The following is a 23,525-nucleotide window of genomic DNA, read 5'->3' as shown; positions in this document are numbered from 1 at the left end:
CCTTCTTCCTCAGGAAGGGACCCCAGAAGTCCTCATTTTACAGCTGAGGTCTAAGGAGAGGCAATGACCTGGCCCAGGTTCACGCCTCTGGGGAGGCTTTGTAGGCCGGGGCGGGTGCCCAGTTATTTGCACACCAGTTCCTGGTTTGTTGGGTTGGAGCAGGCTTCTCCTGGCTGGTAGAGGAGAGTTTCCTGACACCTATCAGGCGGGTAGTGTGTTATCTCCCTCCGCTTCAGAGATGAAGGAACTGGTCTTTCTGCCTAAGCAAGCAGGATGATAGTAGGATGATAGCGCATCCCCAGGATCTGGTGATCTGATGAGCAGTAAGGAAGTGTGCTAGTGCCTGGCACATAGTAGGTAGGCACCTCGTGTTTGATGGGGGAACATCTGAAAGGTGCCTTTATTTTTTTCCTTCTGAGAGACATAGTGATGCCACAGTTGTAATTACCGTTTCTCTCCTCTGTGCTTCTGCGCTGGAATTGCCTGGACTCTTTCCAGGATGTTCTGACAGCAGTGGTGAATCAAGCTGACCTGCTTTCTTTTATCTATAGATTCTGCCAGTTCATCTGCCATCCTTCGATGGGTTTGTACTTTTGTCAGTTGAGTTATCCAAGGATATATCGGGCTTAAATATAGATAAAACGACTTTCTTAGAGCAAGTGCTTTAGTCCTATTAGCTGAGCTTTTAGTAATTCGTCAAAGTGTCAGCCACTGTGTCGTTATGGCTCTGCAGTTCCTGAAGGCTGTGACAATGTGGTGGGGTTCAAGCCAAATATGACAGTTATGAGAAATCAGATGGGTGTGGGAGGGTAGGCTAAGCCCCTGGCTGTGGCACAGCGCTAGTCCAGGCTCAGTGTGGGAGAGTCATCAAGCTATAGACTCACTTACAGGCTGGGAATCCAAAACCTAGGCCATGGGGTGCTGCTGGAACTCAAAGCCAGCCAGAGGATCTTGGACTACCCTTTCTATGGTGCCCAGCCACCTGGTTTTTGTTGTTGTTGTTGTTTTTTGAGACAGGGTCTCACTTTGTCGCCTAGGCTGGAGTGCAGTGGCACGATCTCAGCTCACTGCAGCCTCCACCTCCCAGGATCAAGCGATTCTCCCACCTCAGCCACCCAAGTAGGTGGGATTATAGGTACCCACCACTATGCCTGGATAATTTATATATTTTTGATAGAGACAGGTTTTGCCATGTTGGGCAGGCTGGTCTCAAACTCCTGGCCTGAAGTGATCTGCCCCTCGGCCTCCCAAAGTGCTAGGATTACAGGTGTGAGCCAACGCGCCCTGCCGCCACCTCGTGTTCCTCCCTTAGTGCTGTGGCACCAGAGATCCATGACAGAGCCTCCTTCTGCAAAAGGAAGCATCCCATGAGGGAACAGAAGGCCCCAGGAAGTGGGGAGTAGGGTGGACCTCAGTTGTTTAATTACTACAGTTGGCATTCAGGGATTGGGGATGGGAGCACGTATCCTGTCTGGAGAACCTGACCACACTGCACTGGAAAGTGGTCCCAATGCACATTCAGCCCTGCTGGGCCCTCTCTCGACCTGGCAGGCAGCAACCTGTAAACCCAGCAGCCTAGGTCTAGATCATACCCTGTGCCTTCAGCTGTTCCACAAGTCGGGTGGGCATGGAGAGAGAACCCTAGGGTGATAGCAACTGTTGCTGCTGCCTGGTCCCCCGCGGCTTGCCCCTTCCCCACCCATTACTAAGGTCCTCATCTCCCTGAGCCCAATCTCGATCCTGCCTGAATACTCCAGATGGATCGCCTGCTGTCTGCAGACTGGAATCAGGTGCAGTGTGTTGAGCGGACTGCTGGGCATCTGTGCTGATGCCAGTGCCTTCTCCTTATGGGCTCTTGTCTGTTGCCCTTGCCCACCCTCACCCCCATCTCTGTTCAGTCGGCTTGGTTCCACTTCTGTTCTTATTCCTGAGCATCTATTCTGGTTCCATGTTCACTGGCTACCCAAGCCTGGAGCTCTGCTCCCTGCCCAGCTGCACGTCCCAGGCCTCATGCATGCCGTGGAGCCTCAGGCAGACCACTTAGGAATGGATGCACCTGGGCTGGGGGAGTATGAACACTTCCTGATGTCCTCATTGTGTTCTACCACACTGGGTCAGCCCCACTTTGTTTTAGGCCTTTGATCCCAAATGTTGATCTGAACCATGATGACAGGTGGTCAGATGCGTTTAGCTTTTGGGGCTGTGTCTTAGCTCATGGGCTGCACCTCTGTGACTTTGGGCAGGTCTAGTGCCTGAGTCCTGCCTCTCTCTGTTGGCTGGGCCACATCAAGTATATTACTTTGAGCTTCTGAGTGGTACTTCTGGGCCATTCGTTCCTCTCAAAGCAGGAGGCTGTTGTGGGCTGGAAGGGGAAGCCGCCTCCACTCCTCCCCAGGGAAGGAGTGGATGTGTTTCAGTAAGAAGTGGCTGGTGGGGAGGAGCCAAGATGGCCGAATAGGAACAGCTCCGGTCTACAGCTCCCAGCGTGAGCGACGCAGAAGACGGTGATTTCTGCATTTCCATCTGAGGTACCGGGTTCATCTCACTAGGGAGTGCCAGACAGTGGGCGCAGGCCAGTGTGTGTGCGCACCGTGCGCGAGCTGAAGCAGGGCGAGGCATTGCCTCACCTGGGAAGCGCAAGGGGTCAGGGAGTTCCCTTTCCGAGTCAAAGAAAGGGGTGACGGACGCACCTGGAAAATCGGATCACTCCCACCCGAATATTGCGCTTTTCAGACCGGCTTAAGAAACGGCGCACCACGAGACTATATCCCACACCTGGCTCGGAGGGTCCTACGCCCACGGAATCTCGCTGATTGCTAGCACAGCAGTCTGAGATCAAACTGCAAGGCGGCAACGAGGCTGGGGGAGGGGCGCCCGCCATTGCCCAGGCTTGCTTAGGTAAACAAAGCAGCCGGGAAGCTCGAACTGGGTGGAGCCCACCACAGCTCAAGGAGGCCTGCCTGCCTCTGTAGGCTCCACCTCTGGGGGCAGGGCACAGACAAACAAAAAGACAGCAGTAACCTCTGCAGACTTAAGTGTCCCTGTCTGACAGCTTTGAAGAGAGCAGTGGTTCTCCCAGGACGCAGCTGGAGATCTGAGAACGGGCAGACTGCCTCCTCAAGTGGGTCCCTGACCCCTGACCCCCGAGCAGCCTAACTGGGAGGCACCCCCCAGCAGGGGCACACTGACACCTCACACGGCAGGGTATTCCAACAGACCTGCAGCTGAGGGTCCTGTCTGTTAGAAGGAAAACTAACAACCAGAAAGGACATCTACACCGAAAACCCATCTGTACATCACCATCATCAAAGACCAAAAGTAGATAAAACCACAAAGATGGGGAAAAAACAGAACAGAAAAACTGGAAACTCTAAAACGCAGAGCGCCTCTCCTCCTCCAAAGGAACGCAGTTCCTCACCAGCAACAGAACAAAGCTGGATGGAGAATGATTTTGACGAGCTGAGAGAAGAAGGCTTCAGACGATCAAATTACTCTGAGCTACGGGAGGACATTCAAACCAAAGGCAAAGAAGTTGAAAACTTTGAAAAAAATTTAGAAGAATGTATAACTAGAATAACCAATACAGAGAAGTGCTTAAAGGAGCTGATGGAGCTGAAAACCAAGGCTCGAGAACTACGTGAAGAATGCAGAAGCCTCAGGAGCCGATGCGATCAACTGGAAGAAAGGGTATCAGCAATGGAAGATGAAATGAATGAAATGAAGCGAGAAGGGAAGTTTAGAGAAAAAAGAATAAAAAGAAATGAGCAAAGCCTCCAAGAAATATGGGACTATGTGAAAAGACCAAATCTACGTCTGATTGGTGTACCTGAAAGTGATGTGGAGAATGGAACCAAGTTGGAAAACACTCTGCAGGATATTATCCAGGAGAACTTCCCCAATCTAGCAAGGCAGGCCAACGTTCAGATTCAGGAAATACAGAGAACGCCACAAAGATACTCCTCGAGAAGAGCAACTCCAAGACACATAATTGTCAGATTCACCAAAGTTGAAATGAAGGAAAAAATGTTAAGGGCAGCCAGAGAGAAAGGTCGGGTTACCCTCAAAGGAAAGCCCATCAGACTAACAGCGGATCTCTCGGCAGAAACCCTACAAGCCAGAAGAGAGTGGGGGCCAATATTCAACATTCTTAAAGAAAAGAATTTTCAACCCAGAATTTCATATCCAGCCAAACTAAGCTTCATAAGTGAAGGAGAAATAAAATACTTTATAGACAAGCAAATGTTGAGAGATTTTGTCACCACCAGGCCTGCCCTAAAAGAGCTCCTGAAGGAAGCGCTAAACATGGAAAGGAACAATCGGTACCAGCCGCTGCAAAATCATGCCAAAATGTAAAGACCATCGAGACTAGGAAGAAACTGCATCAACTAATGAGCAAAATCACCAGCTAACATCATAATGACAGGATCAAATTCACACATAACAATATTAACTTTAAATATAAATGGACTAAATTCTGCAATTAAAAGACACAGACTGGCAAGTTGGATAAAGAGTCAAGACCCATCAGTGTGCTGTATTCAGGAAACCCATCTCACGTGCAGAGACACACATAGGCTCAAAATAAAAGGATGGAGGAAGATCTACCAAGCCAATGGAAAACAAAAAAAGGCAGGGGTTGCAATCCTAGTCTCTGATAAAACAGACTTTAAACCAACAAAGATCAAAAGAGACAAAGAAGGCCATTACATAATGGTAAAGGGATCAATTCAACAAGAGGAGCTAACTATCCTAAATATTTATGCACCCAATACAGGAGCACCCAGATTCATAAAGCAAGTCCTCAGTGACCTACAAAGAGACTTAGACTCCCACACATTAATAATGGGAGACTTTAACACCCCACTGTCAACATTAGACAGATCAACCAGACAGAAAGTCAACAAGGATACCCAGGAATTGAACTCAGCTCTGCACCAAGCAGACCTAATAGACATCTACAGAACTCTCCACCCCAAATCAACAGAATATACATTTTTTTCAGCACCACACCACACCTATTCCAAAATTGACCACATAGTTGGAAGTAAAGCTCTCCTCAGCAAATGTAAAAGAACAGAAATTATAACAAACTATCTCTCAGACCACAGTGCAGTCAAACTAGAACTCAGGATTAAGAATCTCACTCAAAGCCGCTCAACTACATGGAAACTGAACAACCTGCTCCTGAATGACTACTGGGTACATAACGAAATGAAGGCAGAAATAAAGATGTTCTTTGAAACCAACGAGAACAAAGACACCACATACCAGAATCTCTGGGACGCATTCAAAGCAGTGTGTAGAGGGAAATTTATAGCACTAAATGCCTACAAGAGAAAGCAGGAAAGATCCAAAATTGACACCCTAACATCACAATTAAAAGAACTAGAAAAGCAAGAGCAAACACATTCAAAAGCTAGCAGAAGGCAAGAAATAACTAAAATCAGAGCAGAACTGAAGGAAATAGAGACACAAAAAACCCTTCAAAAAATCAATGAATCCAGGAGCTGGTTTTTTGAAAGGATCAACAAAATTGATAGACCGCTAGCAAGACTAATAAAGAAAAAGAGAGAGAAGAATCAAATAGACACAATAAAAAATGATAAAGGGGATATCACCACCGATCCCACAGAAATACAAACTACCATCAGAGAATACTACAAACACCTCTACGCAAATAAACTAGAAAATCTAGAAGAAATGGATACATTCCTCGACACATACACTCTCCCAAGACTAAACCAGGAAGAAGTTGAATCTCTGAATAGACCAATAACAGGCTCTGAAATTGTGGCAATAATCAATAGTTTACCAACCAAAAAGAGTCCAGGACCAGATGGATTCACAGCCGAATTCTACCAGAGGTACATGGAGGAACTGGTACCATTCCTTCTGAAACTATTCCAATCAATAGAAAAAGAGGGAATCCTCCCTAACTCATTTTATGAGGCCAGCATCATTCTGATACCAAAGCCGGGCAGAGACACAACCAAAAAAGAGAATTTTAGACCAATATCCTTGATGAACATTGATGCAAAAATCCTCAATAAAATACTGGCAAACCGAATCCAGCAGCACATCAAAAAGCTTATCCACCATGATCAAGTGGGCTTCATCCCTGGGATGCAAGGCTGGTTCAATATACGCAAATCAATAAATGTAATCCAGCATATAAACAGAGCCAAAGACAAAAACCACATGATTATCTCAATAGATGCAGAAAAAGCCTTTGACAAAATTCAACAACCCTTCATGCTAAAAACTCTCAATAAATTAGGTATTGATGGGACGTATTTCAAAATAATAAGAGCTATCTATGACAAACCCACAGCCAATATCATACTGAATGGGCAAAAACTGGAAGCATTCCCTTTGAAAACTGGCAAAAGACAGGGATGCCCTCTCTCACCGCTCCTATTCAACATAGTGTTGGAAGTTCTGGCCAGGGCAATCAGGCAGGAGAAGGAAATAAAGGGTATTCAATTAGGAAAAGAGGAAGTCAAATTGTCCCTGTTTGCAGACGACATGATTGTTTATCTAGAAAACCCCATCGTCTCAGCCCAAAATCTCCTTAAGCTGATAAGCAACTTCAGCAAAGTCTCAGGATACAAAATCAATGTACAAAAATCACAAGCATTCTTATACACCAACAACAGACAGAGAGCCAGATCATGGGTGAACTCCCATTCACAATTGCTTCAAAGAGAATAAAATACCTAGGAATCCAACTTACAAGGGATGTGAAGGACCTCTTCAAGGAGAACTACAAACCACTGCTCAAGGAAATAAAAGAGGAGACAAACAAATGGAAGAACATTCCATGCTCATGGGTAGGAAGAATCAATATCGTGAAAATGGCCATACTGCCCAAGGTAATTTACAGATTCAATGCCATCCCCATCAAGCTACCAATGACTTTCTTCACAGAATTGGAAAAAACTACTTTAAAGTTCATATGGAACCAAAAAAGAGCCCGCATTGCCAAGTCAATCCTAAGCCAAAAGAACAAAGCTGGAGGCATCACACTACCTGACTTCAAACTATACTACAAGGCTACAGTAACCAAAACAGCATGGTACTGGTACCAAAACAGAGATATAGATCAATGGAACAGAACAGAGCCCTCAGAAATAACGCCGCATATCTACAACTATCTGATCTTTGACAAACCTGAGAAAAACAAGCAATGGGGAAAGGATTCCCTATTTAATAAATGGTGCTGGGAAAACTGGCTAGCCATATGTAGAAAGCTGAAACTGGATCCCTTCCTTACACCTTATACAAAAATCAATTCAAGATGGATTAAAGATTTAAACGTTAAACCTAAAACCATAAAAACCCTAGAAGAAAACCTAGGCATTACCATTCAGGACATAGGCGTGGGCAAGGACTTCATGTCCAAAACACCAAAAGCAATGGCAACAAAAGACAAAATTGACAAATGGGATCTAATTAAACTAAAGAGCTTCTGCACAGCAAAAGAAACTACCATCAGAGTGAACAGGCAACCTACAACATGGGAGAAAATTTTTGCAACCTACTCATCTGACAAAGGGCTAATATCCAGAATCTACAATGAACTCAAACAAATTTACAAGAAAAAAACAAACAACCCCATCAAAAAGTGGGCGAAGGACATGAACAGACACTTCTCAAAAGAAGACATTTATGCAGCCAAAAAACACATGAAGAAATGCTCATCATCACTGGCCATCAGAGAAATGCAAATCAAAACCACTATGAGATATCATCTCACACCAGTTAGAATGGCAATCATTAAAAAGTCAGGAAACAACAGGTGCTGGAGAGGATGTGGAGAAATAGGAACACTTTTACACTGTTGGTGGGACTGTAAACTAGTTCAACCATTGTGGAAGTCAGTGTGGCGATTCCTCAGGGATCTAGAACTAGAAATACCACTTGACCCAGCCATCCCATTACTGGGTATATACCCAAATGAGTATAAATCATGCTGCTATAAAGACACATGCACACGTATGTTTATTGCGGCACTATTCACAATAGCAAAGACTTGGAACCAACCCAAATGTCCAACAATGATAGACTGGATTAAGAAAATGTGGCACATATACACCATGGAATACTATGCAGCCATAAAAAATGATGAGTTCATATCCTTTGTAGGGACATGGATGAAATTGGAAACCATCATTCTCAGTAAACTATCGCAAGAACAAAAAACCAAACACCGCATATTCTCACTCATAGGTGGGAATTGAACAATGAGATCACATGGACACAGGAAGGGGAATATCACACTCTGGGGACTGTGGTGGGGTCGGGGGATGGGGGAGGGATAGCATTGGGAGATATACCTAATGCTAGATGACACATTAGTGGGTGCAGCGCACCAGCATGGCACATGTATACATATGTAACTAACCTGCACAATGTGCACATGTACCCTAAAACTTAGAGTATAATAAAAAAAAAAAAAAAAAAAAAAAAAGCAGTGGCTGGTGTAGAATGGACTCAGCTCATTTTGAGCAAACGCCACATCAGATTCAGCTTCTGTGTAAACTGTGGGCAGCCAAAGAGCACAGGCTCTTTGAGAAGGAAAGCTGTGGCCAACAGCTTCAGCAGCTGTCATTCCATGCCAGGCACAGCCAGCTCCTCTGCCCTGTCCAAGCATGTGTCACGCTCTACCTGGGGAGGGATGCATGGACAGCCTCTCCTCCTTCTGGAAGCAGTTGGTGCTACTCATCTCAGGAAGATCTGTACTCAGACCTGTTCTTTATTCTTAAAACACGAAGACATTTCCTTCTTCCCCGGGACAATGTTTCATGTGTCAGTTCCAGCTGTTGTCTAAAGACATGAGTGGGTGGGAAAACTTCAGTGTGTTGCCTCAGCATTGCCCAAGCTCTAGGGGATTATGTGGATCCATGTCAGTGTTGGGGCTGCCAGGAGACTGTGAGCTCTTTGAGGATGGCAGCCATGCCTGGCTCATCTTTGGAGTCCTAGCACCAAGCCAGGGTGGGCAACGCCATAGAAGGGGGTGGGGGAATGAGTGGATGATGAGGTCAGGCCTGGCCACCTTCTCTCCAGGCCTGTGGCAGGTGTACTGTGTCCACAGAAGGACAGCAGGGTCACTGCCAAGGGGGGACCCAAGGACCCAAACCTTGGGTTGTCCCTGTTTATAGACACTGGACAGATGGGAGCCACATGAGGGCATCTCCCCACTCCCAGCTTCTCAGAGCACTGCTATAAACCATGTGGCACATGCCAATAGGCATGTGATTTATGGTGAGTTTTTAGGCAGAACGGCCAACTCCATTATAAAGAAACTCCATTTTCAGAGCATTGGTTAATTGAGCCATCACAGCACTTGATTTCATTGTGCTGTTGGCACTCTTTCCAGACTGAGTTAATCACTGCCATCCTTATGAGAAACTGCCTGCCTGTGGACAAGACTTGCCTGAAGCAGGTGCTTCTCCTGGGAGCTCTGGATGACTCTGCTGCCCTTGGTTCTCAGTTATTTTATAGGATCACAGAAACCTGTATTGGAAGAGACCTTAGAGGTCATCCATTCTACAAATATTTAGCCACACCTGTTGTGTTGCGAGTGCTGCCTGATTGTGATGGTTCAGAGGATATCAGTATCCAAAACTCTGACTTATTTGGTATTTTCTTTTGGAAATGTAAAATTACTTTCAGGAACACATTCAGGCTCTGCTCGTCCACTCCTCATTAGAATTCACTCCTTTGAATAAATACAGAGCACCTTCTGTTAAGGGAGCAAGCATAAGGAAGGTTCCGAGCACACAGTAGGTTTTCAGTGAATATTTCTTTTCTTCGCTGTCTGTGATTTGTTGTTGTTGTTTTAAATTTTTAAAAAGCACCTGTTAATAACTACTCTTGGAGCAGGCAACATGTCTTTTTATTGCTGTAACTCAGTCACAGCCTCTTATGGAAAACTCCCAGGTTCATCCAACTTCATCTCCCTGGATTTGGGAAAGACTTCTCATGAAAGGAATCCGATGGGCCTGTCTCCCCCTGCCTGTTTCATGAGCAGCTTCCTCTGAAATCCAGAGCAGGTGAGACTGGAGACAGGAGAAACTTAGCATTTTGCTGCTTCCAAGCAGCTCTTGATTACCTGTGTTTTGTGCATTTTGTGACAACTTGGTCCCACTGATCTGCAGGACTGGGTCTTTTACTAGGGTGGCTTCTTTCTCTGTGAAAGTTTTAGAGATGACTCACGCAAGAAGAAGGTGTACACAGAGATGGGAGCCTGTATGAAGCTTATGCCTGGGGTGCTTTAGCACAGCCCCTTCTCCCTTCTGGGCTTTGGTTCCTTCCCCCAGGTCCGTTCTCCCCTCTCTCCAGGGGTAAACAGTTCTCATTCTGCTAAGTCATTCTGCCGCATTGAGGGCACTCAGCTGTGCCCTCATCCTTCACACACTCACCCTTGGCTCCCAGGGCTGAATTCTTCCTTGGTTGCTGGCCACCTGTGGCACGTGTACTGCCAACTCCTTCACCTGCTCTTCCTTGGTTGCTTCCTTAAGTCAGCCTTCTGCCCTGGGCCTCTCTTCTTTTCTTCCACCAGATGACACTCTCCACCCGGTGACCCCTTTACTTCTCATCCCCCAGTTTACTCAAGTCTCGTATCTCCTCTGACGCCAGAACCCACAGGTCCAGCCACCTCCTCGGTCCCTAACACAATCTTCCAGTGTCTCCATGGGCGGGAAGGATACTACCTGCTGTTTTCATAAGCCTCTGCCCACTCTGAAGATTAGCCTCCCTAACAACTTTGTTATGGGTTTGTAGACTTTATTTTTAACCATTTGTATTAATAGGTACCATTCAATGTCTAATAATAAAGCAAACCCATATGTACCCACCACCCAGTGGAAGTACGTCTTTCATTAATACCTCAGAAGTCCTTCAATGGGCCTTTCCCTAATTAGATGCTCTCCCATCCACTCCTCAAGAGATCACCACTCTATTAAGAGTGTATTAAGCATTCCCTTGCTTTTCTGCATAGTTTTGCCACATGTGTATATATCGCTAAACCAGAAGTTGGCAAACTTTTTCTCTAAGGGTCAGAGAGTAATTTTTAAAAAAGTTTTTTATTCAGGTTGTACAGTCTCTGCTGCAGATATTTGACTCTTTTGTAGCCAGAAAGCAGCCATAGACCAATATGTAAATGAATGGGCATGGCTGTCTTCCAATAAAACTTTAATTACAAAAACAGGCCATAGGCTAGATTTGGCCTGAGGGTTATAGTTTGCTGACCCCTGCCCTAAATAATCTGTTATTCAGTTTTACCTGTTTTTGACCTTTATATGAATAGAATCATACTAGAGACTCATAATGTATGTGTTCTTTTGTAACTTCCTTCTTTTTTTTTAATGTTAAATTTTTGTGATTCATCCATGCTGATCAATTTGGTTAGCCTTGGTTAATTTTCCTGCTGGATTAGTATTTCATTGTATGGAAATACTGCAGTGTATTTATCCATTCTGTTGGTAGTGGACATTGTTTTTGCAAGTTCTACTGTAGGTAAAATGCTGTCAAGTAGCATTGCATGCTACAGAGAAATCTTTTGTGAAAGGAAAAATCAACCAATGCAGCAAATATTGTTGTCTTATTTTAAGAAATTGACACAATGACTCCACCCTTCAGCAACCACCACCCTGATCAGTCAGCAACCATCAGGATCGACACAAGTCCCTCCATCAGCAAAAAGATTACAATTTGCTGAAGGTTCAGATGGTCCTTAGCATTTTTTAGCAATAAAATATTTTAAAATTAAGGTATGCAGATTGTTTTTATTTTTTAAGACAATGCTATTGCAAACTATGATTTCTTTATTTTCTTTCTTTCTTTTTTCTTAGAGGTAGGGTCTCACTTTTGTCACCCAGGCTAGAGTACAGTGGCACGATCACGGCTCACTGCAGCCTTGACCTCCGGAGCCCCAGGTAATCCTCCTGCCTCAGCCCCCTGAGTAGCTGGGACTATAGGTGCACAGCACCATGCCCTGCTAATTTTTGTATTTTTAGTCGAGATGGGGTTTTGCCATGTTGTCCAGGCTGGTCTCGAACTCTTGGGCTCGAGCAATCCATCTGCCTTTGCCTCCCAAAGTGCTGGGATTACAGGCATGAGCCTGCAAACTACGATTAATATATTCAAGGAAACAGAGGGAAAATGGACAAAATAGATGAAAGGAAGGAGAATACTCCCAGAGTCTTAGAATTTTTTTTGAAAGAGCCAAATGGACATTCTAGAACTAAAAAATAACAATGTCTGAAATTAAGATAACAATGGATAGATTTAACAGCAGATTGGAGACATCAGTGGCCAGGATTAGTGACCTGGAAAGCAGATTAATAGAAAATACCCAAATAGAATCAGAGAGTACCAAGAATCAGGGAAAAATAATTGATGAGTGTAAAAAATATTGTGCATGGCCAGCATGGTGGCTCCTGTCTATAATCCCAGCATTCGGAAGGCTGAGGCAGATGGATTGGTTGAGCCCAGGAGTTTGAGATCAGCCAGGGCAACATGGCGAAACCCCATCTGTACAAGAAATACAAAAATTAGCTGGGCATGGTGGTGCACACCTGTAATCCCAGCTACTTGGGAGGCTGAGACGGGAGGATCACTTTAGCCCAGGAGGTCGAGGCTGCAGTGAGCCATGTTTGTGCCACTTCACTCTAGCCTGGGCAACAGAGCAAGACCCTATCTCAAAGAAAAATGAAAGACCTAGCATGTCTGTAATTGGAGTCCCAGAAGTAGAAGCAAGGAGAGAGAATAGAGCGGAAGCAATATTCATGGAGAGAATGAGAATTTTCTAAAAACTGATGAGTCTACAGATTTAAGAAGCTGAATGAACCTCCAGCCATCGTAAATAGACTTAGCTCTAGAAATCAGTCCGTTGTTGCTTTGTAAGTAAGACATACATTATATTCTTTTTAGCCACTTATTAGTTTTATGACCTTGAACAGGTCCCTTGACCTTGTTAAGCCTCAGTTTCGCCATCTGAAAAAAATGGGGGTTAAAGACTGTGAAAAAGTGCCCTAGAAACTAAGTTTTAAGGAAATAGCAGGGGGTATCACCATTGTTATTCTAGCTTGACTGCCTCTGGGATAGCCTGTATGGGGTGAGCTTAAGAGCCATATCCTATACTCTGGCCAGCCTCTTTCCACTGCCTTTCAAGGAGACTTGGGGTGTGGTGACTGACCTAGGGGCATAGGCCTGCAGTGAAGTAGCAGCAAGATTTAAAGTGAATCCAGTTTCTGAATGGATGTAGTCATTGCTTTGTCCTCCCAGGATTCTGGTAATTGAGAGATGACCAGGGTTGGCTTTCTGGGGTCACGTGATCCATCCTGATCCAGCTCCCAGCCACACACCTTCCTTAGGTCTGTCTTGGTTCCACCATATCCACCCTGCTTGGGGCTGAGCCAGAATCCCCCCACCCTCCAAGGTCCCATAGCTTTCCCCTACACTTGCCAGTAGTTTAGATCTCCATTTTCCACGCCCTGCTTCCCTGCCCCCATCTCTTGATAGTGTCCAGTGACAGTAGACAGATCTCTTGACTTCTCATGTTGCATTCAGTTTTCCAGATGGAAAACATTTGGTAAAATGTCCTGACTCAGATGGACATTGGCATTATGGAAGGGTTATTATAAAGAAAGGAAAAGTCAGCTGGACCGTAGCACATGAACATCAGTACTTCATAGATGGGGAAAAGAAGAGGGGCAGTAATGTTTCCTTCATCGTGTATAAAATGAGAAGCAACATGATATGGAAGTTTATAGGACAAGTCTTGGAGTCAGACAACTGGGTTTTTATCTCTAGAGTCTCCTACTGGCCAGCTTTAATGTGTTACCTTAAGCAAGTTAGTTTAACCTTTCCCAAATCTCAGCCAGGTGCGGTGGTTCACGACTGTAATCCCACACTTTGGGAGGCCAAGGCGGGCGGATCACCTGAGGTCAGGAGTTTGAGACCAGCCTGGCCAACATGATGAAGCCCCTTCTCTACTAAAAATACAAAAATTTGTCGGGTGTGGTGGCGGTCACCTGTAATTCCAGCTACTCAGGAGACTGAGGCAGGAGAATCGCTTGAACCTAGGAGGTGGAGGTTGCAGTGAGCCTTGATCATGCCATTGTACTCCAGCCTGGGTGACAGAGCAAGACTCTGTCTCAAAAAAATCAAACAAACAAACAAAAAAACTTTCCCAAATCTCAGTTACTTCTGTGAAATGAAGGAATAGTCGTATGCATAGGCTCGTTGTAAGGTTTAAGTGAACTAATATAAATGAGGCACTCAATAAGTGTTCAACAAATAGTAATTGCTGTTGTTAGTATTCTAAAAATTATTTTACCAGCTAAGCTAAGGTTTTCTCTTGAGCCAGTGGCTTATCAGCAAACTCAATAGTCTGATAGATAGATAAATGTAGATCTAGCAAGAGCAATGATACTTCTGTTACTACTGACAGCTGTCACTTACTGTCTAGATCCCTTTAGTTAAGGCAACGGTTTGTATCTGGAAGGTCTGTCCTTTAGCAAAAGAGTAGACTCAGGTTCCTACCACAGAAAGCAAGCCCTATGCCATTCAAACTTTTTTTGTCTTCTCTGTTTTATCAGTTACAAGGAAAGTGTTCTGAGTTGACCATTGAGAATAAACAACCTTAGTAAGTAAAATTGCTGGTAGGTTCACTCTTTAGAATACTTACTTAGATTGCTCTTATTCCCTGTTCAGATCATCTGATGGGGAAGCAGCCAGTGGTTATTGCTACCCTGCCCTTACATAGACACCCAGTAATCCTTTATTTCCAAGAGTATTTTTCCTGAGTGTTTCTTAGAGTCCTAGGGCTTGCAATGATTTCTACTGAATAAGCCATTGTTGATATTTTATAACCCTTATCAATTGTTTGATGTCTTTGCCCTCTTCCTGACTACTTGCCATTGAAAGACCAGGAACCTTGACTCATTCATCTTTGTATCTTTGATTAGCAGAATGTCTGGTGTATAGTAAATGTTCAATAAATGTTTGAATGAATAAAAGTACCATGTGCTAGATATTATCTTCTTACCCTTCCACCTCAGATTCATCCTCTACCCTTCTTGACACTGCTCTGGTCCCTGAGGGGCTAACTTGCAGACATCAGTGGGCTCCCAAGCCCTCTGGCTTCTAGCTGGGTTTATCCAATGGCAAGTGGAAATCAAAGGGAGAGAGGCGAGGGTGTTTGCTCCCCCAGTTCCCCACTCCTGTGAGGTTGCCATGTGCTGACTGTGTCCCCCAACAGGTAGCTTGCTCTACGTGACCCCTCCCCCTCCCAGGGTCTGTAGCCTCTCCATCCCCTCATTCTTTTAGGCCAAGGAGTGGTGACAGCTAGCACCAGGCTGCTGCACCATCCTTACAGATTCCCTGTACCCCACTCACACCCGTATAATTAGTTTCTTTGTCAATTAACCCTCCACAAATTATCCTAATTGGACTGTACCTGCTCCTTCCTGTTGGGAAGCAGCAGGCCTCAATTGCTTATAGAGATTTTCAATTGTTTGAGTTGGACACTGGGGCTCCAGGTGACTCATAAAGCGACATAGTGCAGTTCTTCCAAGAATGTGGGACATGGCTAGCCATTAAGGGCACTCTGATGCGTGGCAGCTTTGGGGAAATAAATAGCAGTTTGGGAAACTATTCTTTGTTTAGGAGAGACTTTCTCCCACGGATAACGTGTAGGATCTTATTTTAGACTGACTGTTAAGTCTCTGAAGTTGCCCCTTTTCATGGTTGTGTATCTGACTCAGCATGGGTTGTTCATCTGACTCAGCATGGGTTGTTCCAGGAGAACGCGGGACCAAATTTAACAGGGCAGAGGATACAGGCTTGAAGCACTGGCTTTGCCAATAGAAGACTTTCTAAGGAATGACTTTGTCTCATTCAACATTTAAATTTTCACTCTTTGGGCTGTTTTTCTGCAGGTGATCATAAACAGCACAATCACACCGAATATGACCTTCACCAAAACGTCACAGAAGTTTGGGCAGTGGGCCGACAGCAGAGCCAACACAGTGTTTGGTTTGGGGTTTTCCTCTGAGCAGCAGCTGACAAAGGTAACTTGGTCCTATCCACAGTGCAGTAAATCCCGCATCAGATGCCATTCTCATCAGTGATTGCCCGCCGAGGGATGTGCCCTTGGTGAGCAGGATTCCTTTCTGGTCTTTGGTTTCACTCCTCCTGGCATCACGGGGCTGCCAAAGCAGAGGCCCTTTTGAAATACCAGGTTCACGGAAGTCATCTGGGGAAGGGAAATTCGTATCTAACAAATGCTGCTTTGGGGCCTGAAGTTGCAGTGTGGCCAGTCCATCCTCCCCTCCAGGTGTCAGCCACTGCTCCCTGTGCCCGGTGGTATCAGCGCACAGACTGAGCGCTGGCTTGTGTGCCAAAACCAGATCCATTGGGTTTTCAGGACTCTGAGGATTAGGTGACCTTCCTGTGTGAGGGCACAGTTATCGGAGGGTTGTTACTATAGAACTTCCAAGGAAGAGACTGTGTTCCTGCTGCCAAGAATGCATCTTGATGAAATAAGCATGTTACCCCTTTTGAAGTAAGGCACACTTTGTCTCTGACAGCCATCAACGTCAGTGACTCTGTTTTTGGAGCTCTTGGGGAGTAAGGTGATGCATAATGGAAGCGCTTAGCTTGGACTCCCCACGTGCCTTAAAATGCCACACAGTGGTGTGTGTATGTTACTTTTTTTCTAGGGAGAGGATTCATAGCTCCAAGTCACTTCTCCAAGGGCCCTGGGACAAACTCCTTGGATGGTTAGAAAGGTGTTGAGGAGCAAATCATGGCTGACCACAGACTTGGAGAACCTCAAGAACTGAGGGAATAAACTGATCGCCTCTGAGAGGCCTTACTCAGCAGTTTAAAGGGGCTGAGAGCCTGTTTTAGAGACTACATTTCCTTTTAGGGTGGTAGAAGAGCCCTTTGTAAGTATTTAGAATATTTTGGTTTAAGGTAAGACTGACTAGTTTACAAGTCAAAGAAATTTATTGGAAGAATGTTGGAGTCTCTCAAGGAGTGCAGGAGAGAGCTGCAAACCCAGGGAAGGGCCAGAGCCAGACTTGCTTCTGGCAGCTTGGCTCTAAGAATTGTTTTTCTCTAGACCCTTGCTGTGAACATCTGACTGACTGGCTGGACAAGTGCTGACCCAGCCTCTGCTCTGCTGACACCATCCTCAGCACTGAGGATGCAGAGATGTGGCCCTTGTTCCAGGGCTTCACAAATTTCCAGATTCTTGGGGAATTGACAGAGTTGCCTAGAACAGACTTGACTGCTTGGGTTACTTGTGTGTATTGAAGACAGTTTTCAAAGAGGGGGAAATTAGGGTGAGTCAGGAAGCCTCCCACAGCAGAGGCCTGCTAACTGGTCCCCTTCCTTTGTCCAGTGTGTGTGCATGTGTGTGTATACTCACATATATGTGTGCACGCACACACACTTCTAAGGAGGTCCCCAGCGCACAGATCCGGCCATCCCATACCCAGTCACAAATGAGCACCCCAGTGGGGATACCCCACAGACTGTCCTCTGCATCCCAAGGAACTTCCACGAAGACTCTGTTTCCTTAGAAGCCTGAGAAGTCCAAAATGGCCTGATGGCACTCTGAGCATCCACCCTTGTGCCGCCCTCTTACAGAAGCATTCTTTCCTGGGTGCTAAAACCTCCAGATCACCAGGGCCTGGAAACATGGACAAAAAGCAAAAATCTCGAGGGCAGGTCATTGGACATAGTTATGGGAGACGTCCTCTCTGTCCACAATCCCTCACTTCCTGGGCTTGTGTGCTGTGATCCTGGATGTTCAGCAGGCACGAGTGCAGCACAGTTCTGCAAGGCCTGCCACTTCTGGCTGATACGGTACCTGGGAGGAGCTGAGAATCCTATGGCAATCACTGTTGCTTCACTTCATATGCAGAGAAGTGAGTTCTCTGCAGCCTCACTTGGTTTGAAGCAGTGTCATGTGGGACAGAAAGTATTGGGTAAATCTTTGGCTGATAGGGCTGGCAGAGGCATGGCGGTCCACAGTATCTATTCTGGTGATGATAAATCACTCTTCCCCTGGAATAAGGGGCCCAGTGGAATCAGCCTTCACCAGGGAGCTGGCTGGTGCCTAGAGGTGTGATGCTTGGCGTGGGTCACTGTGTTGACAGTAGGATGCTCAGCAGGGCCGGGAGTCAGGGTGGCTGTGGAGAGCAGGAGTATGTGTTTTCAAGGCCATTTGGTGCCTTTTTCCCTGGCACCATGGCCAGTGTGTCCTTAAGTCTTTTGAGCAAGTACCAGGCTGCCTGGAGAAAGTGAATGACTGGGTATCCATAGAACAGCCCCTCCTGCCACCTAGTTTGAAATATTCTGTTTTGCTGTAAAGGCCTCTGAAGAGCATGCATATGGAACATGAGTATTTTCAGGCTCTGGTTCCATTTGGACCCATTGATGTTGCTGTTGCTCAAACCTCTTTGTCACCTTGTTTCTTCCCGGTTCCTCCTCATGCAGCTAGGCCCTTAACCATTCCCACTGAGATGTCAAATCCAGGCCACCTCTGCTGTGCATGTGGCACCATGAGATGTTCGGGGTTTGTCCACAGGGAAGATTTCCCTTTTCCGTCGTCTGCCCGACAACAGGATAGCTGGAGGGAAGTCGTGGCACTGTGAGGTGTGTGAGGGAAGCTGTGGAGAGTTCACTGTTGATGGAGTGTCCAGGATTTTCGGGTGGGTAAGGCTGCTAAGGTCCAGTCGTGGAAGGCTTTATTGGTCATGCCAGAGCTTCTGGACTTTGTCCTATGGCCTGAGAAGGATTTTAAGACCAGAAGGAAAATGCTCAGATGCATTTTAGGTAGAATTTTTTCTGGCAGCAAGTCAGATTAGATTGTTTTAGTCCAGGGTAGAACTGATGAAGGGTTAAGAGTTGGAGAAATTTTAAAAATACCGAGGCACAAATATTGGCAAAACTGGGGTGAATAGAAGAGGAAGAAGAGATTCTGGGGTGATGAGGGATGGAGGGTGGTGAGGCCGTTTTCTGAAATGGGGAAGAGGAACAGGAACAGGTGCTGTGAGGAGCAGAGAGAATTTGTTTAAAGCAGAAGCAAATGAGATGGTGACTTGTTGAAAGAATAATTAGCTGGAACCTCTGTCTGAGGGGGTAATGGGGGTGTATGTCTTTCCCTCCTGAAGTGGTCCTTGGTGAGGAAGGGTGTGTTGGGAACTCCCTTCCCCTCAGCCGAGTGGCCCCTTCCCACACCTGCCTCATATCCTGGCAAATAGGCTTGGGAGCTTCTGTCCAAGACGTGATCCCTGGCAGGCCCGTCCTGGTCATGTGCTCCTGTTCCCTCCCAGGGCTGGAAGTTCTTCCCTGAAGCCAAGGATGGTTTGAGAGAATCACTCACAGCTGCCTGGAACAATTTCTTCAATCTTTAAAGGAACCCAAGCAGCTAGGTAGAAAGGGGGGAAGGTTTCTATGAAAAGAATCGACAGCAAGAACTCCCCACGAAAACCAGAACACATTGTCCAAGTTAAATGCTCTGTGCCTCTCTGAGAACTGAAGAGACCTTGAGCTGTGCTGGCTTCCAGGGATGGCCACATCTAATTTTTCCCAGACAGAAGAAAATGTCCTATCATTAAGGAGGAGTGCACCGTCCTGCCAAGCCACTCAGCCTCTGGTGCAGTGCTGGAGTTCTGCTCGGTGCCCACAACCTCCATCGTCACAAAGACTTGTCAGAGAAGCCCTCAGATAACCCCTTTGTCCAAATGTTTCAAATCAACTTCTTCCCCTGCTCTCTGAAGGAAATGATTAACCACACGCTGATAAATTATCATGAAGTGAGTCTGGCCATCTCAACAAGTGACAGTTAGCTAGCACAGAGGAACTTGGCCTCCAGGGCTCCCAAGGCGTGTGCTGAGGGGACAGCCAGGCTGAGTATTCCTGACTTCCCAGAGCAACCACCCACAGCCCTGTAGGGAAATGGTAATCAAGCACTATAACTAGGCTAGAGAAAGGAACACCAGTGTGGACATTTTCATCTAAGAACACTTTATACATACTTCCCTCTCTACCCCCCAGAAAGAAAATAGATGCCTTGGTCTTAACTGCTCCATTATAAGGACTATTTCCCAACCACAGTCCAAAAAGTATTATTACAGGGCAATTTCCTGCTCTTTAGATAGGCTGTCCAAAAATAGTAGAAGCTGTGTTTTCTCAGAAGTAAACTGGGACTCGTCTGTCCACCCACTGGAGAGGACATAAAACCCCAGCCTACTGAAGGAAATTGAAAAGGCACTTGCATGTGCTGATAAAAGGAAGAGCTTATGAAAGGAGACAGAAGGAGGAACAAATATAAGAATGAGCCAGTGGTTAAAGTTTAGTTTCTTTCTGGCATTTGACCTCGAGTTGTCACTGTTCTAAGTTTGGTTCCATCTTATTCATTACAGGCAGAAGGAAACATATTCTGCCCTTAATGGGGAGCGACCCAGGATGGCGTTGCCAGTGCACCATGGTTGATCTGGCCAAACCCCGATACGTGCATGGCATTTGCTTTTGACCCACTTCAGTGATTTCATCTGTAATTCAAATTTGTCCCCATGTAGTCACTTTATTCACTCAGTATCGTAAGAACATTGTTTTATCTCCTCCCTTTCTGGGTCCTGATTTAACAGCTAATGTTTAAAATGGAGGATATTAATAATTATTTTGACATGTTTTAGGTAGAAAGCTTTTGGCTGCAAGTAACAGGTAACCTAATCACCGTGCTTAAATACATGGGATAATTTCCTCTCATGTGAAGAAGTCCTGAGGCAGGTGGTTGCTAGTACAGTGGCTCCATGATGTTGGGTCTGACAATCTGCATGGATTTCATTTGTTTCTTTTTTCTTTTATCGGCCTTTCCTTTGTGGTGATAAGATGGCTTCTAAAGCTCTACCCATCACACCTGCATTCTTGGCGAGAGGGAGGAGGAAGAGGCTGGTACCACAGCAACCCCCCTGGCAGACTTCTGGGGCCCCATTATCAATGCTGGGTCCCTAGCCCATTCCCCTACCCCACCAAAAACCAGGGAAACGGATTTCCATGATTGGCTTAGACTAGCTTTCATTCTCTAGCACCTAGGAAATTTCCTGCTCCAGAAAAACTTGAGACTCTGTTAAGCTACGGGAAAAGAAACAGATTTTGAATAAACAAACAGTAGTGTTTGCTTCAGGTCTTCAATGGCTAAGGCCAAAAGAAGCCACAAATGAAATCAAACAGTAATGGTTTCATTTTCTATCATGATAATGATTTTGTTTAAAATTATTACCACAATTTTAATAAGTACCAAAAAATGACCTTAATGAAGATGTGAGAATTTTGCAATACATTTCGGAAACCTTTGCAATTTGAATATCCTTTGATCCATGGATTTCATTGACAAGAATCTATTCTAAGGAAACAATTGTAACTGAGTATAAGGATATCAGTACAAAGATTGCAGCATCATTTATAACATAAAAAAAATTTAAAAGCCCTAACATCCAGTACTAGGAAATTGGTTAAACTGCAGTGTATCCTTCAGGGTAATATGTAGCGATCAAGATGTGTAATAGAGGCTGGGCGTGATGGCTCATGCCTGTAATCGGAGCATTTTGGGAGACCCAGGCGGGTGGATCACCTGAGGTCAAGAGTTCGAGACCAGCCTGGCCAACATTGTGAAACCCTGTCTCCTCTAAAAATACAAAAATTAGCTAGGTGTGGTGGCAGGCGTCTGTAATCCCAGCTACTTGGGAGGCTGCAACAGGATAATCACTTGAACGCGGGAGGCAGAGGTTGCAGTGAGCAAGATCACGCCACTGCACTCCAGCCTGGGTAACAGAGTGAGACTCTGTCTCAAAAAAAAAAAAAAAAAAAAAAAAAAGATGTTTAGTAGAAAATCATATAATTGCATGGAAGTATTAATATCATATTGTTTATTTCAAAAGAGGCCATAAAATGAGATATATAATCTATTTTAAAAGAAATGTAGGTAATGAATGCAAATATACAGACAGAAAAATATCAGAAGATTATGTGGTTTGTTCTTATCTTGGATGATGGTGTTGCAGGGCAGGGGAGCTCATAAATTGGGGCTCCACCTGGGAAGGTTCTTGGCTTTGCCTGGGAGGGAATTATGGGGTGAGTTGGTGGTAGAAGAAAACAGCTTTATTGAGGTGGCAGTGTTACAGCCCTGTGGCTGCTCCTGCAAAGCAGGGATACCCTGTAGGCAGTGTGTCGAGAGGAGCAGCTATGCGGCAGTTCTGTGGTCGCATTTATACCTACTTTTAATTACATGCAAATTAAGGGGCAGGTTATTCAAACATTTCCAAAAAAAGTGTGGTAACTTCTAGGTCATTGCCAGGGAATGAGTAAACTGTCATGGCTCTGGTGAGCCCATTAACCAGTCTTCCGTCTAGTCCAGAGTTGAGTCCTGCCTCCTACCTCAATGGGACTGTAGGTCTAAATATATATATATATATATAGCTGAGCGCAGTGGCTCATGCCTCTAATCCTAGCACTTTGGGAGGCCAAGACAGGCGAATCACCTGAGGTCAGGAGTTTGAGACTAGCCTGGCCAACATGGTGAAGCCCCGTCTCTACTAAAAATACAAAATTAGCCGGGCGTGGTGGCGCATGCCTGTAATCCCAGCTACTCAGTAGGAGGCTGAGGCAGGAGAATCACCTGAGCCTGGGAGGTGGACGTTGCAGTGAGCCAAGATCGTACCACTGCACTCCAGCCTGGGAGATACAGTAAGATTCAGTCTCAAAAGGGGAAAAAAAAAAAAAAAAATATATATATATATATATAAAATAAATAAGTGATATATATAACTTATGTAACTTAAAAGTTAAAAAATATATATTTTTCCAGATCATCTCCCTCCTCCTACCCTCCACCCTCCACCCTCCAGTAGGCTTCTGTGTGTGTTGTTCTTCTCTATATGTCCATGTGTTCTCATCATTTAGCTCCTACTTATAAGTGACAAATGGGATCTAATTAACCTAAAGAGCTTCTGTACAGCAAAAGAGACTATCAAAAGAGTAAACAGACAACCTACAGAATGGGAGAACATTTTTGCAAACTGTGCATCTGGCAAAGGTCTAATATCCAGCATCTATAAGGAACTTAAATTTACAACAACAACAATAAAAAAACCATTAAAAAGTGGGCAAAGGACATGAACAGACACTTTTCAAAAGAAGACATACATGCAGCCAACAATCATATGAAAAAAATATTTTTTTCTAAATTGTATTTTCCAAATTTACAAGCATATATATATATTTTTTTAAGAATAAGGGGGAAATATTAGAAAATGCAAGACTTGGAGGGAGGCGATTTTTCACCAAAGGACAATTACTAGGCGGCTCTCATGACTGGCAGTTTTCTTCTGCTAGTTGGAGGCTTTGAGAGGAAGTTTCTCTCTATCATTCTCCTAGGGCCCACTGGGTTGTTTCCAGTGTTCCATATTTGTAGACAATGCTGGAATTAACATCTTGGTATT

At 45.1% G+C, this 23,525-nt stretch overlaps 1 protein-coding gene across 15 annotated transcripts in view; it reads left to right on the top strand.

Moving 5' to 3' along the window:
* HOMER2 (homer scaffold protein 2) overlaps positions 1-23,525 on the top strand; it is a 151,497-nt gene that overhangs the window by 94,806 nt on the left and 33,166 nt on the right. For all 15 annotated transcript variants that reach the window (XM_047433359.1, XM_047433356.1, XM_011522232.3 and 12 more), the window contains one exon: positions 15,948-16,079. In XM_047433359.1, the coding sequence (XP_047289315.1) occupies positions 15,948-16,079 (132 nt within the window). The remainder of the gene's footprint in view (positions 1-15,947; positions 16,080-23,525) is intronic.

This window comes from Homo sapiens, chromosome 15 (assembly GCF_000001405.40).
Source record: "Homo sapiens chromosome 15, GRCh38.p14 Primary Assembly".
In the NCBI taxonomy this organism is placed as follows: domain Eukaryota; kingdom Metazoa; phylum Chordata; class Mammalia; order Primates; family Hominidae; genus Homo; species Homo sapiens.
Note: the sequence above shows the minus strand (reverse complement) of the source record. Positions and strands in the feature narration are given on the sequence as shown.